The sequence below is a fragment of the Homo sapiens genome, chromosome 15, assembly GCF_000001405.40.
Source record: "Homo sapiens chromosome 15, GRCh38.p14 Primary Assembly".
Classification (NCBI taxonomy): domain Eukaryota; kingdom Metazoa; phylum Chordata; class Mammalia; order Primates; family Hominidae; genus Homo; species Homo sapiens.
This window is the reverse complement of record NC_000015.10, coordinates 30,506,264-30,521,290: the sequence shown is the minus strand read 5'-3', so window position 1 is coordinate 30,521,290 and position 15,027 is coordinate 30,506,264. Positions and strand designations below refer to the sequence as shown.

Genomic DNA, 15,027 nt, shown 5'->3' with positions numbered 1-15,027 from the left:
ATGAGGTCATGGTTTTGTTAACAAAGAAGAAATGAGGGTGGGAGCAGGATCACCACTGGCTAGGCAGCCAATGGGCCTGCAGAGACTCTGCTCAGCTGAGTCTCCAGCACGACCATGAGCTTCTCCTCCTCATCCTCCCAGCCCCACCCTACTCTCTCCCCCAGCTTGCTCAACAGGTGACCTTACAGGCTCCCTACTCTTTGCGAGGAATAAGAACCAGACTGCGAGAACCGATGGGTACAGAGGCCCAGGTGTAGGGGCAGGACCACAGGCAGTGCAGCGTCTACTGAGCAAGGCGGGTGAGGGTCTGGAGAGTGGGCATGGCTGCTGCAGGCATGGAAAGGAGGCGCAGATGGCGGCACTCCCAGGGCCCATCGTCAGGGTCTCCATATGTGGACGTGTGCAGAGGTGGGGGTGCTGAGCGAGGAGGTGCATGGAGTTTCTCATCTTCTCTCTACGGCCTCTGAGTTGGAGATGTCAGAGGGAGCCATGGCCCACTGTAAAGTAACACAATGTCCCCACCCACAGGGTTAGAACCTCTCCTCTGGAAGCAGCTCTGAGGGGAACAGTCACATGTAGAGAGTGCAGGGCGCTGTGTCCAGCCGGGGGAAGGAGGTCACCAAGCAGGTTGACCCTCCCCTGGCCAGGTGGCTGCCTTCTGACACACCAGCCTCTCTCTCTAGCATGGTGGCCCCCACACACCCAGCCTGTGAAACCTACAGCCCTCAAGAAGGTTTTGGCCGAATTAATGAGTAGCTCCCTCTCCCAGGAGGAAGCACAGCTGAAGGATGCGGAGGGCAGTAGAGTTGTGTGTGCTCCGCCCCCTTTCTCCACAGTCGGACGGGAAAGAAGGGGGCTTTCAACCAGGCTCACCCAGGCTGGGGTCTGAGTGTCACTGTCCAGCTATTGGCTTCTTGCTTAACGGGTGAGCCCAGCAGCTCCCGTGCAGCTGCCGCCCTAGTTAGGGTGAACCGGCAGGCGAGTTACATTTCTGAAAGCCCGGGAAGACAGTAAATATTAGGCTGTGGGCTGCTGGGCCAGGAAGGGGTGTTTATTTTTCAGGGTTTGTTTATCTATTGACTTGATGAGGGAGGGTTATACGTACAACCAGTTAAAAGATGGAAATTTTGAGAGAGTAGGCAGGGATTTAGTGCTGGGTAAGGCAAGAAGGCTTGTCAAAGCAGCTCTTCTGGGGAGGCCAGAATCCTGTACCAATGTCCTCAGCACGTTCTTCAGCTGCTGGGGGAGTGCCAGACAGGATGAAAGCGTAGGAGAACTTTCTGGATGATAGAAATACTCTATATCTTCAAAGGAGGTGGGTTACATGGGTAATGCATTTGTTGAAACTGATCAAAATGGAAACCAGATCTGTGCATTTCACTGAATATAAACTATACCTCAAATTAAATACATTTCTTAAAAGACAGATGGGCCGGATGCAATGGCTCACGTCTGTAATCCCAGCACTTTGGGAGGCTGAGGCAGGTAGCTCACCTGAGTCAGGAGCTCGAGACCAGCCTGGAAAATGTGGTGAAATCCTGTCTCTATTTAAAAAATAAAAATTAGCCAGGCATGGTGGCACACGCCTGTAATCCCAGCTACTCGGGAAGCTGAGGCAGGAGAATTGCTTGAACCCAGGAGGCAGAGGTTACAGTGAGCAGAGATCATGCCACTGCACTAGAGCCTGGGCAACAGACCAAGACTCCATCTCAAAAAAAAAAAAAAAAAAGAGAGAGAGACAGATGAAGGTTTTCAACTTTCACTAAAGGCAGAGGAGCTTGTTACAGATTCGCCTCCCCATAGGAACAGTTAGAAAAACTGGACAAAAATGTGCCCCACCACCAAAAACAATTGTTGGAAGGTAATTGGAGACCTCAGCCAGCACTTGAGTGACCAGGCCTGGGAGGTGATCCTGACAGTCTGTAGTGCTTTTCCCACATTTGGTGATCGGTCAACAGTAGAGGGCTAAGAGGCTAAGAAACTGAATATGAAGTGGTAGTTAAGGGGCTGGAGAGCCTAGCTGAATGTTGGCACTCTCACAGGGCTGAAATGACCTAATGAGAATTTGGGTCCCAGGAAGGAGATGGGACATTGGTGGGGACCCTGGAAGGGCCACCCCTAGGAGTCCAAATGAATAAAATATAGACCAGCCGTCACAAAACCTAAAACCTGCTTTGAACTAGCTTAGTCACAAACTAGATGAAGGCGATCTGCCCTTACTCCAATTGTGTGCCATAAAGTCAAAGTCAATACTCTCTGGAGGCAGATAAAACTTTACTAGGAATGCCATAAGACAACATCAGACTAAATGAGAAAGACCAAGAAAAAAACTAATAGAAACATACATGTAAGGAAGAAACTTTTTTTTTTTTTTTGAGACAGAGTCTCACTCTGTCACCCAGGCTTGAGTGCAGTGGCACGATCTCAGCTCACTGCAACCTCTGCCTCCCAGGTTCAAGCGATTCTCCTGCCTCAGCCTCCCAAGTAGTTGGGATTACAGGCATGTGCCACCATGCCCGGCTAATTTTTGTATTGGCCAGGCTGGCCTTGAACTCCTGACCTCAGGTCATCCATTCACCTCAGCCTCCCAAATTGCTGGGATTACAGGCATGAGCCACCGTGCCTGGCCAGTATTTTGCCAAAATTTAAAATAAATAAATTTTCTTTTTTTTTTTTTCAGGTTTGTGCTCAGACTCTATTCTAAACAGTCACATGGCAGCTTACTCTTCTCCAGGCCTTGCTGCCGGCTTTTACATGTTTATTATATTTGTGTTCTTGTCATCTGCTTGGTAGATGGCAGCTTCCAGGTGCTCCTAAGGGGCCAGGAAAGAGAGTGAGAAGGCACCGAGTTTGCCAGGTCGTCCCCCTCAGGGCCCCACCCTCATCAACTCCCTCAGCTGGGTCTCCTGCAACTATTGGTGGGCCATCTCAGCCACCGCTTCGCCCTGAGCTTCCTGCTGCTGCAGCTGGGCAGTGCCTCCTTCCCAGAGGCCAGCTGCTGATAGGCGGCCACGTACTGCTGCAGGTGACCCCGGTAGTGGTCTTGCTGCTGCTGCAGACTCTGAGCCTCTTGGCTCTTCAGCTCCACCTGCAGGATAGGCGTCAGGGTAGGTAGTCGCTGGCTTCCAGATTCTGGGCCCATAAACAGGGTGGCAAGGGCACTGCGGGGCTCTGTCGCCTGCTCAGGCCCCTGGCCCTGGCCCCTTCCTCCAGGCCTAAGTGACTGCCTCCCTTGCCTAGAGGCCCATGCCTCCCTCCCCAGCCTCAAATCTCACACCCTTCTTCCCACCATTTAAACTGTAGGCCGCAGACTGGTGGAAAAGCAGAGGGAGCCAACCACCATCTGCTAAGTTGTGGTGAGGTCGTTCTGTATGATCTCCAGGGTTTGCACACACCTCTGCCTGCTCCCCCCAAGAGCTCCGCCTTCTGCCCCAGCTTCCCCAGCCTCTCCTCCAGCTCCTGCAGCCTCACCTCCTGTTCCTGCATCTTCTCCTCCTGCTGCCACAGCCTCACTTCCTGCTCCCGCATCTTCTCCTCCTGCCTCTGCATCTTCTCCTCCTGTTCCTGCATCTTCTCCTCCTGTTCCCACATCTTCTCCTCCTGCCTCCACATCTTCTCCTCCTGCTCCCATATCTTCTCTTCCTGCTTGAGCAGCTTCTCCTGCCTCCACGTCTTCTCCTCCTGCTCCTGGATCTTCTCCTCCTGCCTCTGTATCTTCTCCTCCTGCTCCTGCATCTTTTCCTCCTCCTCCTGCATTTTCTCCTCCACCTCCCGCAGCTTCTCCTCCTGATCTTGCATCATCTCCTCCAGCTCCCGTATCTTCTCCTCCTGCCTCCACATCTCCTCCTCCTGCTCCCGTATCTTCTCATCCTGCTCGCGCATCTTCTTCTCCTGCCTCCACATCTTCTCCTGCCTCTTCTCCTCCTGCTCCCGTATCTTCTCCTCCTGCCTCCACATCTCCTCCTCCTGCTCCTGTATCTTCTCATCCTGCTCCCGTATCTTCTCCTCCTGCCTCCACATCTTCTCCTCCTGCTCCCGTATCTTCTCTTCCTGCTCCCGTATCTTCTCCTCCTGCCTCCACATCTTGTCCTCCTGCTCCCGTATCTTCTCTTCCTGCTCATGCATCTTCTCCTCCTGCCTCCACATCTTCTCCTCCTGCTCCCTTATCTTCAGCTCCTGCTCACACATCTTCTCTTCCTGCTCCTGTATCTTCTCCTCCTGCCTCCACATCTTCTCCTCTTGTTGCTGGTTCAGGAGGTTCCACAACTCGTTCTCTTCCACCTGGGCTTGGAGCTTTGCTGACACACTCTGTAGCTCCTTACCCAGGCGGTCAGCCTCCACCTGCAGCTGCTGCTGGAATAGTGAAAGTGTTGGTTCAAACCTCAGAAGGAAACAGACTCATGAGCTAGCCATATAAATGTAATCTATAAAATAATGGTTTTCATCTATGATCCTTTGAAAAATATTTTTTTAAGCCCAAACTCTGAGATTCTGATTCCCCAGGCAGGGCCCCAATTTGTATATTTTTAGCACACTCCAGAGGATTCTATGGTGGGACCAGAACAAGGACCCAAATTTTCCAGCTCTTGGCTGGAGCCTCCCCACACCCTACATGATCCCTAGACCATGGCCCCAGCCGGATGGGGCTCCCACAACCCCCGGGGCTGCAGCTGCTCGCCTGTGGCAGCAGGAGCTGGGCCCTTTCCAGCTTCCTTTTAAGGTCCTTTACGTTGAGCTGGATCTCAGACTTTTCAGATTCTACAAGTCGAAGTTTTTCTTGTAGTTCGGCATTTTTCTCCTTCAACTCCTCATCGGTTATGCTGTGGCCAGAGGCAGTAGAGAAAGGAATGAACGAAGAATAGAAAGGACCGCTTTGGTGATCAACCCTCTACTTTCACCACACAACCACAGAACGGTGGCATTGGAAAGGACCCCAGGAATTAAAAGTCACAGGTGGCAGGCCAGAGAGAAGACATGAGTTGCCTGAGGCTTCCCCATGAGTCAGTGGCACCGCCGGCACTAGAGCTTCCCTGTGCACACATGAAAACCTGTAGAAGCCTCTCACCATGCTCACCTGTACCCCCCACCTCCCAGCACACCACCCACTCTAAGGGCCCCCAGACCTCCCATTCCACCTTCCCCCATCCTACGTGTTCCTGTACAGTTCCAGACTCAGAGCGTCCCTCTCCTTTGTTAATTTCTCGATGTACTGCAAATAGAGAAAGGTTAAGTCAGGATAGAGCAGGCAGAGGAGTAGCTGGACGACCAGAACAACAGCTACACTGATACTCCACAGTAACACTCCCTCACTCTCAATCACACCTGACATGTTCTCAAGGCATTTCCAAGCCCATGGTCTCATTTGTTTTTTCTTTGTTTTCTCTTTCTTTCTTTCTTCTTTCTTTCTTTCTTTCTTTCTTTCTTTCTTTCTTTCTTTCTTTCTTTCTTTCTTTCCTTCCTTCCTTCCTTCTTCCCTTTATTTCCTTTCTCCCTTGCTTCCCGTGCTTCCCTTGCTTTCTTGCTTTCTTGCTTTCTTGCTTTTTCTTTCTTGCAGAGTTCGGCTCTTGTTGCCCTGGCTGGAGTGCAATGGTGCAATCTCGGCTCACCACAACCTCCACCTCCTGGATTCAAGCAATTCTCCTGCCTCAGAGTCCTGAGTAGCTGGGATTATAGGCATGTGCCACCACACCCAGCTAATTTTGTCTTTTTAGTAGAGACGGGGTTTCTCCATGTTGATCAGTCTAGTCTTGAACTGACTGATCCTGACTTATCCTTAGCCTAAAAAGAAAAATTTAAAATTACTCATTAAAAAAATGAATGATTTCCAGCAGAAAATGGGCAATGGAGAAACCGGCACTTCCCACAAGAATAAAAATGGCCAATGAGCAAACGAAAAAGATTCAAAAGCACTAGAAATCAAAGAAATGTAATGAAAACAATGAGATTTTCTGCTTAAAGACCAGCAAAGATGACAAATGGAAGGGGGAACCTGGAGCTCTGTCCCTGTTGGTGGGAGCATAAACTGAACCAATTTTCCTACAGAATAATTTGAACATTTCTTTTAAAAATCCTAAAACAGTTTTACATTATTTTCCTCTAGAAATTCTACTTCTATGAATTCAGTGCAAAAATCCTTACTGGAGTCCATTAAAATGTATATAGAGGAAATTCACCTCTGGGGTGGCAATGATTCACTTAACATAATCCAGCTATTAAAAATGATGATGCCAGGATATACTTCTGCCCTAGAAACATGTTTAAAATATAATAAGTGACAAAAGCCCATTTACTATGATTGTACTTTTATTTTTTTTAACAGTCACAAATCAGCTTTATTTAACTTTTCCAAAATATTTCTCAGGCCATTCTCTTTCAGACATTCAAAAAGAAAAAGTTTCTAACTTTAAAATAATTAAATGACAAATGGTAAAAGCTGCTAGTTATCTCCCAGTGGCTGTTCCCATGGTGGTAGGGCCTTAGATGTGTGGCCATTTGCAATGGACCCAGCATTTCTAGCTTGCAGCCAGGCACAGCCAATAGCAGGAGAGAGCGAGGTGTGTTCCTCCCCTCTCTTGTCTTCCAATCCTTTCCCTGTTCTGCTCATCTGGAATGTGATACTGGTAGAGGCCAGTTATTCGTGGCAAGCAACACGTTTACAGGGATTTTCCTGGGAATTTCAGATACAATGTCTGTATTAGTTAAGATTAGGTTTTGCGGCAATAACAGAAAACCCTCCAAAATGATAAATTAAAGAACATGGAAGTTTATTTTTGTCTCATAGGGATGTCTCAGAAGTGGTTCATGGCTGGCATGATGCTCCATGTTGTCAGGAACTCAGACTCCATTCATCTTGATGTTCTTTCCCGAAGGCTTCAACCTCACAGTCTCAACATGGCAGATTCTACTTTTAAATATGTTTATATGCATAAAAAGTGTAAAAAGCAACAAACCAGAATGTTTTGAGTGGCAAAATTAAAGATTTTTCTTTATATTTTGTCATCCAAATTATTACAAAAAGAATGTGATTTCCTTTATAATCAGGGAGAAGTGTTATTTTCATTTATTTATGTTTACATTTCTTTTCTTTTTCTTCTTTTTTCTCCTGTATGTATCCCATGTAGGCTAGAGAGCTTCAATCCCTGCCTCTTGAGGGAAATCAGCCCATTTTCGGGAAGTGCACTACACAAAGCTGCCCCATCTTCCCTTTATTTTTTATTTTTATTTATTTATTTATTTATTTATTTATTTATTTATTTATTTATTTTGAGATAGAGTCTCAGAGTGCAGTGGCGCATCTCAGCTCACTGCAACCTCCATCTCCCGAGTTCAAGCAATTCCCCTGCCTCAGCCTCCCAAGTAGCTGGGACTACAGGCATGCACTACCATGCCCAGCTAATTTTTGTATTTTTAGTAGAGAGCGGGGTTTACCATCTTGGACAGCCTGGTCTCAAACTCTTGACCTCAAGAGATCTGTCCGCCTTGGCCTCCCAAAGTGCTGGGATTACAGGCATGAGCCACTGTGCCTGGCCTGTCATATTATTTCTAAAAATTTCAGTGACATTTCAATTAAGTTAAATTTAATTCTTACTGACCTGATCTCTTTTCCTGTGTTTAATGATATCTTCCAGTTGAAAGGTATTTCCTCTGTAATCACAGGCACTAAAGGAAATACAACAAGTATTCTTTAGGTGGATATCCACTAAACCACGGATTCTCCCATTGTAGTCCTTAGACCCTCAGCATCAGCAACACGTGGGAACTTGTTAGACATGCAAATTCCTGGGCCAGCCCCACACCTCCTGAATCAGAAAGTGGGGAAGAGGGACAGCTGTCTGTCCTTTAATAAGCCTTGAGATGCTCCCTGAAGTTTGAAAACTACAGAACTAGAATACATATGGCAGTAAGTGCTCATACTTTATCCCAGGTACCTTCCCCTCTTTTCCATTCTCTTTTCCGTTGAAATAAAATGAGAGCTCTTTTTGACTTAATGGGTATAAGAAAGAAGGCAATGAGATGAGCAGGGTTTCAAGTTAGAGTTCAAAATTTAATCAGTGGATGGTGACAGGGTGCAAGCCTTCTAAACAGATTACTGCAAGAAAGCTGATTATAATCTATACAGTAGGTATCATTAGTGTATTGATGTTAAATTTTTGGGGTGGGATTAATGGTATTGTGATTATATAGGAGAACGTCCTGGTTCCTAGAAGATATCTGCGAAAGTACTTAACACTGAAATGCTGATACTGGCAACTTACTTTGAAATGATTCGGGGGGAAAAGGGCACATATACAATCTTCCATATGCAGGGGAGACAAAACAAATATGATAAAATGTTAATTGGTGAATCCAGTTGAATAGCATACTGATGTTCACTGTATTATTTTATCAACTTTTCTGTGTTTGCAAGTTTTTAAAATAAAAAGTTGAGGGAAAAGAAACATCACCCCAAATCTTCCTACAAAATGGAACCATAGAAAAACTTTGCAGAAGAGGGCACCGTACCCATCCGGACAGCATGGTCAAAGTGCAGGGTCTCCTCCAGCAGGCTATTCTCTGGTCTCTTCTGTGCTGTCACTTCCCCCAGACGCAACCAAGGCTTTTTTATAACAACTCTTTTTCTAAAGGTGTAATTTTTTTCATTCATCTAAGAAAGAGACAAAAGAATTAGTATACATTGAGAAAATCAAATTACACTTATACTTGTGTAAAAGCAAAAAATACTTTGAAAAGTGGGGAAGCAAGAAATGTACTGTTCTACAATTCTGTCCTTACCATCTTTTTATTCTGCCAATGACTTCCTATTCCTGCTGCCTATGGTGGGGTGAGCTGCAAATGATTTCTTTTCCTCATTGATTTGAAATGCCATGTTTATAATATACTAAACTCCCCCAGAAGCATTTGGGTTTATTTCTGGGCTCTATTCTATTCAAGTGATCTATCTGTTCACAAGCCACTATCAATTTTGATTATTAGAGCACCCTAAAGTTAAGTTAAATAATTCTTTTTTTTCTTTTCGAGACAAAGTCTCTCGCTCTGTTGCCCAGGCTGGAGTGCAGTGGCGTGATTTCGGCTCACTGAAAGCTCCACCTCCCGGGTTCACACCATTCTCCTGCCTCAGCCTCCCGAGTAGCTGGGACTACAGGCACCCGCCACCTCGCCCGGCTAATTTTTTCTATTTTCAGAAGAGACGGGGTTTCACTGTGTTAGCCAGGATGGTCTCGATCTCCTGACCTCGTCATGTGTCCGCCTCGGCCTCCCAAAGTGCTGGGATTACAGGCATGAGCCGCCGCACCTGGCCAAGTAATTCTTTGATTAGGATATTAGTATTTGATGGAGCCTGACCCTTTTGACTCTAAACTCAAATTCTTATTATCTCTAACTTCTAAAAGTTATGAACAATTATGACTTCAATGTATAAAATGTCAGCTTTTTCAGCTACCTTACAGAATTCTCTTATTTTCCTAATATCGATTCCATTTATCCATTCGGTTTTCTCTCCAAACACTAATGTTTTCGTTTTAGTATCCCTAATCTTTTTTTTTTTTTTTTTTCTTTTGAGACAGAGTCTTGCTCTGGAGTACAGTTGCATGATCTCAGCTCATTGCAACCTCCGACTCCCAGGCTCAAGCAGTCCTTTTACCTCAGTCTCCCAAGTAGCTGGGACCACAGGTGCATGTAACCACACCCAGCTAATTTTGTATTTTTTGCAGAGATGAGGTCTCACTACGTTGCCCAGGCTGGTCTCAAACTCCTGAGCTCAAGTGCTGGGAGCTCCTGAGCTCCCAAAGTGCTGGGATTGCAGGTGAGAACCACTGCTCCTGGCAGTTTTCCTAATCCCTTCTCTTTATCTTTTGTAGTTGCACTGGCTTATGTGGTTATTAACTGTTAGTGTTAATTAACAGGGATAACTGCAATACTGGACATTTTGTCTTATTCCTGATCTTAAAGGGATGTTTCTACAGTTTCACTCATCATGCATGATGGCAGCTTTTGGCTAGATGTATTTATAATCCACTAGGAGTAAAAAAAATTAGAAATAAATATTGAATTTTATCAAATGTCTTTCTAACATATATGGAGGGAACCATGTATTTTCTTCTTAATGTCTTGCAACCAGGAATCATACCAGATCTTCTAGTAGTGATTCAAGGGAATGAGCTTCATGTGATTGTGCGGCATAATTTTCCCACTGTGCTATGTTTGCATCACTAGCCATGAATGAGAGAGTGTGTGTGTTTTAATGTTACCTTTGTCAGGTACCTTTGTCAGGTTTGGGTTTTCATGTTCGAACAGTTTCAAAAGAAAAAAGTTTGAAAGTTCTACTTTATTCTTTATATGTGGAAATTTCAATAAATTATTTGTGATTTATTGAAAATTTTACTTGAAGGTCTGATATAATTTCAAAGCAAAACCAAACCTTTTTTTCTTTCTTGTTGGGGGAGGGTGGGAGGAGCGGGACAGGAGGACATTAACTCGTTGATATTTTATGTTTTGTTTTTTCCCTTTAGAATTTATCTTCTGGGGACAATCTGACAATGATGAATTTAATTTAGATTCACAGATTTTAAAAATAATTCTTTTGATATTCTTGGTATCATTTATTTACCTATTCTGCAGCTCTGTTGCCCAGGCTGGAGTGCCATAGTCCAATCATAGCTCACTGCAGCCTTGAACTCCTGGACTCAAGCGATCATACCCGATCAGCCTCTTGAGTAGCAGAGACTATAGGCTCACGCTACCACACCCAGCTAATTTTTTATATTTTTAGTGGAGATGGGGTTTCAACATGTTGCCCAGGCTGGTCTCGAACTCCTGGGCTCAAGCAATCCTCCCTTCTGAGCCTCCCAAAGTGCTGGGATTACAAGTGTGAGCTACTGTACCTGGCACTATTCTCATTTTTATAATAAAATTTTAAGATTGGATAAATAATATAGCCCAATTATTGGAGCCAGACTACATCTACAAAAATTAAATGAAATTTCACTTGTCTGAAATCATGACATACTTTGGAAGATATCTTTGTCATGGTATTAATTAAAATTACGGCTATTTGGCACTCACCAAAATCTGTGGAGCACCTTAAAGACATAGGCGGCATCCTCCGGAGCAGTCAAAACAGTTACAAGAAGAGGCTGTCGGGACAGCTTTGTCAGAAGAGACATGCTATGCATATAAAGACATAAGGGAGACAGAAAAGAAACAACCATTTTACACACAGGCCCCAAATTGAAAGCTATAGGCTGGGTAATGCAGGCACTGATTTTTGCAAATCAGATGTTTTCCATATGGCATCTCCATATAGTGTGCTTTTGCTTTAGAGAGTGGCAGCAAGATTTTTGGTTTTGTTTGTTTGTTTGAAGACAGGATCTTGCTCCACCGCCCAAGCTGGAGAGCAGTGATGTGATCATAGCTCACTGCAACATCAACCTCCTGGGCTCAAGTGATCCTCCTGCCTCAGCCACCTGAGTAGCTGGACTACAGGCATACACCACTATGCCCCCACTAATTTTTGTATTTTTTGAAGAGACAAGATCTCACTATGTCACCCAGGCTGATCTTGAACTCCTGAGCTCAAGCGATCCTCCTGCATCAGACAACCAAAGTTTTAGGATTACAGGCATAAGCCACTGCACCTGGCCAAGATATTTGTTTGCAAAGGATGGTTAATAGTTACAACAAGAAAAATAGGAAGGCTGGGGCACAGTGGCTCATGCCTGTAACCTCAGCACTTTGGGAGGCTGAGGCAGGAGGATCACCTGAGGTCAGGAGTTCGAGACCAGCCTGCCCAACACGGTGAAACCCCATGTCTTCTAAAAATACAAAAATTAGCCAGGCATGGTGTCATGCACCTCTAATCTCAGCTACTCAGGAGGCTGAGGCAGAATCACTTGAACCCGGGAGGTGGAGGCTGCAGTGAGCTGAGATCATGCCATTGCACTCCAGCCTGGGTGACAGAGCAAGACTCTATCTCAAGAAAAAAAAAAGAAAAATAGGGAAGATTTGTTAGTAGTCTGTGAGTTCCACAATCATGTCAAGCATATTAAAAATTCCTTAAATTCCTAATTACCTTTTCCTGTCTTTTTTTAAAAGAGGATTTAACTTCATCAGAATTTTTCTTTACATGTGAAACACCTGCATCTTCAATTGCCTCATCATCTGGCAAAGTGAAGGTCACTCTTTTCAAGCTTTCTTTACATTGTTTACTGTCTTCACTTTCTTCCAGGTCATCATCTTCATCCCTACACTACAAAATTCTTATAAAAAGAAATATACTGCTTTCCATTAGAAAAACAAAAGGAAACATATTTCCCTTAATAAAGTTCTTCTTTTATATGCCTAATGCAACCAAATACTCAGAAGTTCCAAAATCATTCAGGTATTAAGGAACAGAAGGTATCATTTAAGTGAAATGCTATGTAAGAAACAGAACAAAAAGTGTCCAATATATAGAAAATAAATTGTTCAATCTCACAGAAATAACAGGATTTTTGGGGCACAAAACCAAATCAAAGTTCCTGGTCAGAAAGGTTTGATTGCCATTGCCAGTAATATTTTTCTTCATTAAATGATCTCTAATGTCCCTTTAAATACACAGACTTTCCTGTGGCTATCTTGAGAATATCTGATAGGAGAGAATCTAACTTCTTAAAACAAACATATGTGAAAACCACAAGTACCAATACATGATTGGACAGTTCCAGCTCACAATATAAAGGATGGTTCAAATACTTACATTTCAGAAATGCTTAGTTCTTCTGCTGCTTCTTCAGCAATTTCATCAGCTTGTTTGAACCCAGATCATCATCATCATCACTTGCTATGTCTTCATCACTTTCAACTGGATCAAAAAAAGTCTTTGTCCTTCACATTTCTGGAACTTTTACCTGACTAAAATAAAAAGATTTTTAAAACTATTAATTAGGAAGAGAAAAATACATCGTTAGCACACACATATATATTTGTGTGTATACTGTATGTCTACGTTACTTTCTAACTTAATAACACTACAAGCCAAAAATAGTTATTAGGTGAAATCAGCAACTAAAAACATTACCATAAAACTATTATAAGAACAACTGGAACAGAAACTGAATGGAAGTACAGATTCATTTATAACTGATAAGATAGAGCACAATATTTCTTAGATCCAAATCTTCTAACTACAATTACATCTGTCCTAGAAAAACAGAACAAAAGGTAATTTGAGGAGGAGGAAAGTGCTCTCTCCTCTCTCAAAATTTTACCTTAAGTTTTTTTACTTCTAAACAGTGCCCCTTCATCTTCATCAGAATCAATATCTTAAAAAAATCAGTATCTTCTACGTCATCATCATTACCATCTTTTCGTTCCTCTTCTTTTTCTGTTTTCTAAATAGGCCTCCATTTCAGAGAGTTGGAAGAATTTCTCATCTGCTATGGACTTTTCTCTTGGTTTCCCGTGTCCTTTGTTTCGCACCTTGCTCTGCTGTTCCAATTTGTTGATATGAAAGTCAAGGTCAGAATCCTCATCACTGAGAACTGGGCTTTTCGTCGGATCGAATTTGCTTGAGTTTGCTCTCTCACTCACTTCAGGATTGTCACCACCCATATCTGACACTTCCTCCTCCTCCTCTAAATCTTCTAGGTCCTCCTGGCCATCAGCCTCTGTCTCTGAACCATCCTCTTCATGCTCCTGTTCTTCACTCTCTGGGATACTGATATCTTCATCTTTGTTTCACTAACTGCATTCTGGAAGCTTTGTAAAATTGGGTCATTTTGCAATTCCAGTTGTTGCAAAGTCTGCTTATCATCAAAACTTTCTATCACAAGTTTTTGTAAAGGGCTTCCATGGATCCTACCATTCTCTAATATTTTATTAAGGTCATAAAGCACTTTTGTTAAAGAAGTGAACTTTGATGCCAATCCATCTTGAATCCTAATGGGAGGAATTAAATGAGATTTAGAGTTATAGTTGATAATTTCACAGCCCTCTTAATTAAAAGAAAAATAAAAACCACAACTCTTCTGTAAAATCAAATTTGAATGAAGTGTAAGTATAGATTCTGGCCCCAACAACATACAAGCTGATGAGCCACACTGATATATAAAACCTGTCAACCAAGTATTTGTGAATCAGCTGTACAGATTTTAGGCAGGAAAAGCATTACAAATCTATTTGCTTGGAGATATATAGTGAATTAGCCTTAAATTATCAACTCTGCTACATTATATACCACTCCATTCTTTCACTCATGTTAGTCAGGATGGTCTGGATCTCCTGACCTCATGATCCACCCACCTCGGCCTCCCAAAAAAGTGCTGGGATTACAGGCGTGAGCCACCGTGCCCGGCTGAATTTTTCTTTTTTATAAAATAGGCTTTATTTATTTATTTGTTTATTTATTTATTTTGAGATAGAGTCTCGCTCTGTCACCCAGGCTGGAGTGCAGTGGCGTGATCTGAGCTCACTGCAACCTCTGCCTCCCCGGTTCAAATGATTTTCCTGCCTCAGCCTCCCAAGTAGCTGGGACTACAGGTGAGTGCCACCACGCCTGGCTAATTTTTTGTATTTTTAGTAGAGATGGGGTTTCACCATGTTAACCAGGATGGTCTCGATCTCCCAACCTCACGATCTGCTCACCTCGGCCTCCCAAAGTGCTGAGATTACAGGCATAAGCCATCGCAGCTGGCTGGCTTTATTTTTTTTTTTTAAAGCAGTTTTAGGTTCACAGCAAAATTGAGCAGAAAGTACACGCAGTTCCCATATACACCCTACCCACACACAGTCCCCATATACACCCTACCCACACAAAGTCCCCCTATACACCCTACTCACACACAGTCCCGTCCACTGTCAACCCCCCACACCAGAGTGGTACATTTGTTATAAACTATAAACATACACTGACACATTATTATCACTCAAAATCCATAGTTCACATTACTTTGTGGAGTTTCTATCATGAACAGGTCTTGAATTCTGTTTAATGCTTCTTCTGCTTCTACTGATACAATTGTGTTGTTTTTCTTAGTCTATTAATATTAATAT

At 43.7% G+C, this 15,027-nt stretch overlaps 1 protein-coding gene and 1 pseudogene across 1 annotated transcript; both read right to left on the bottom strand.

Moving 5' to 3' along the window:
- Positions 1–2,823: 2,823 nt before the first annotated feature.
- Positions 2,824–8,519, bottom strand: LOC124903452 (golgin subfamily A member 6-like protein 1; the record flags this gene model as incomplete). Its single annotated transcript, XM_047433404.1, has 6 exons — positions 2,824–3,088; positions 3,472–4,353; positions 4,679–4,820; positions 5,151–5,209; positions 7,593–7,659; positions 8,503–8,519. Coding segments are annotated over 6 exons (1,362 nt in total), but the record flags the coding sequence as incomplete, so codon positions are not given.
- Positions 8,503–13,927, bottom strand: MPHOSPH10P3 (MPHOSPH10 pseudogene 3; annotated as a pseudogene).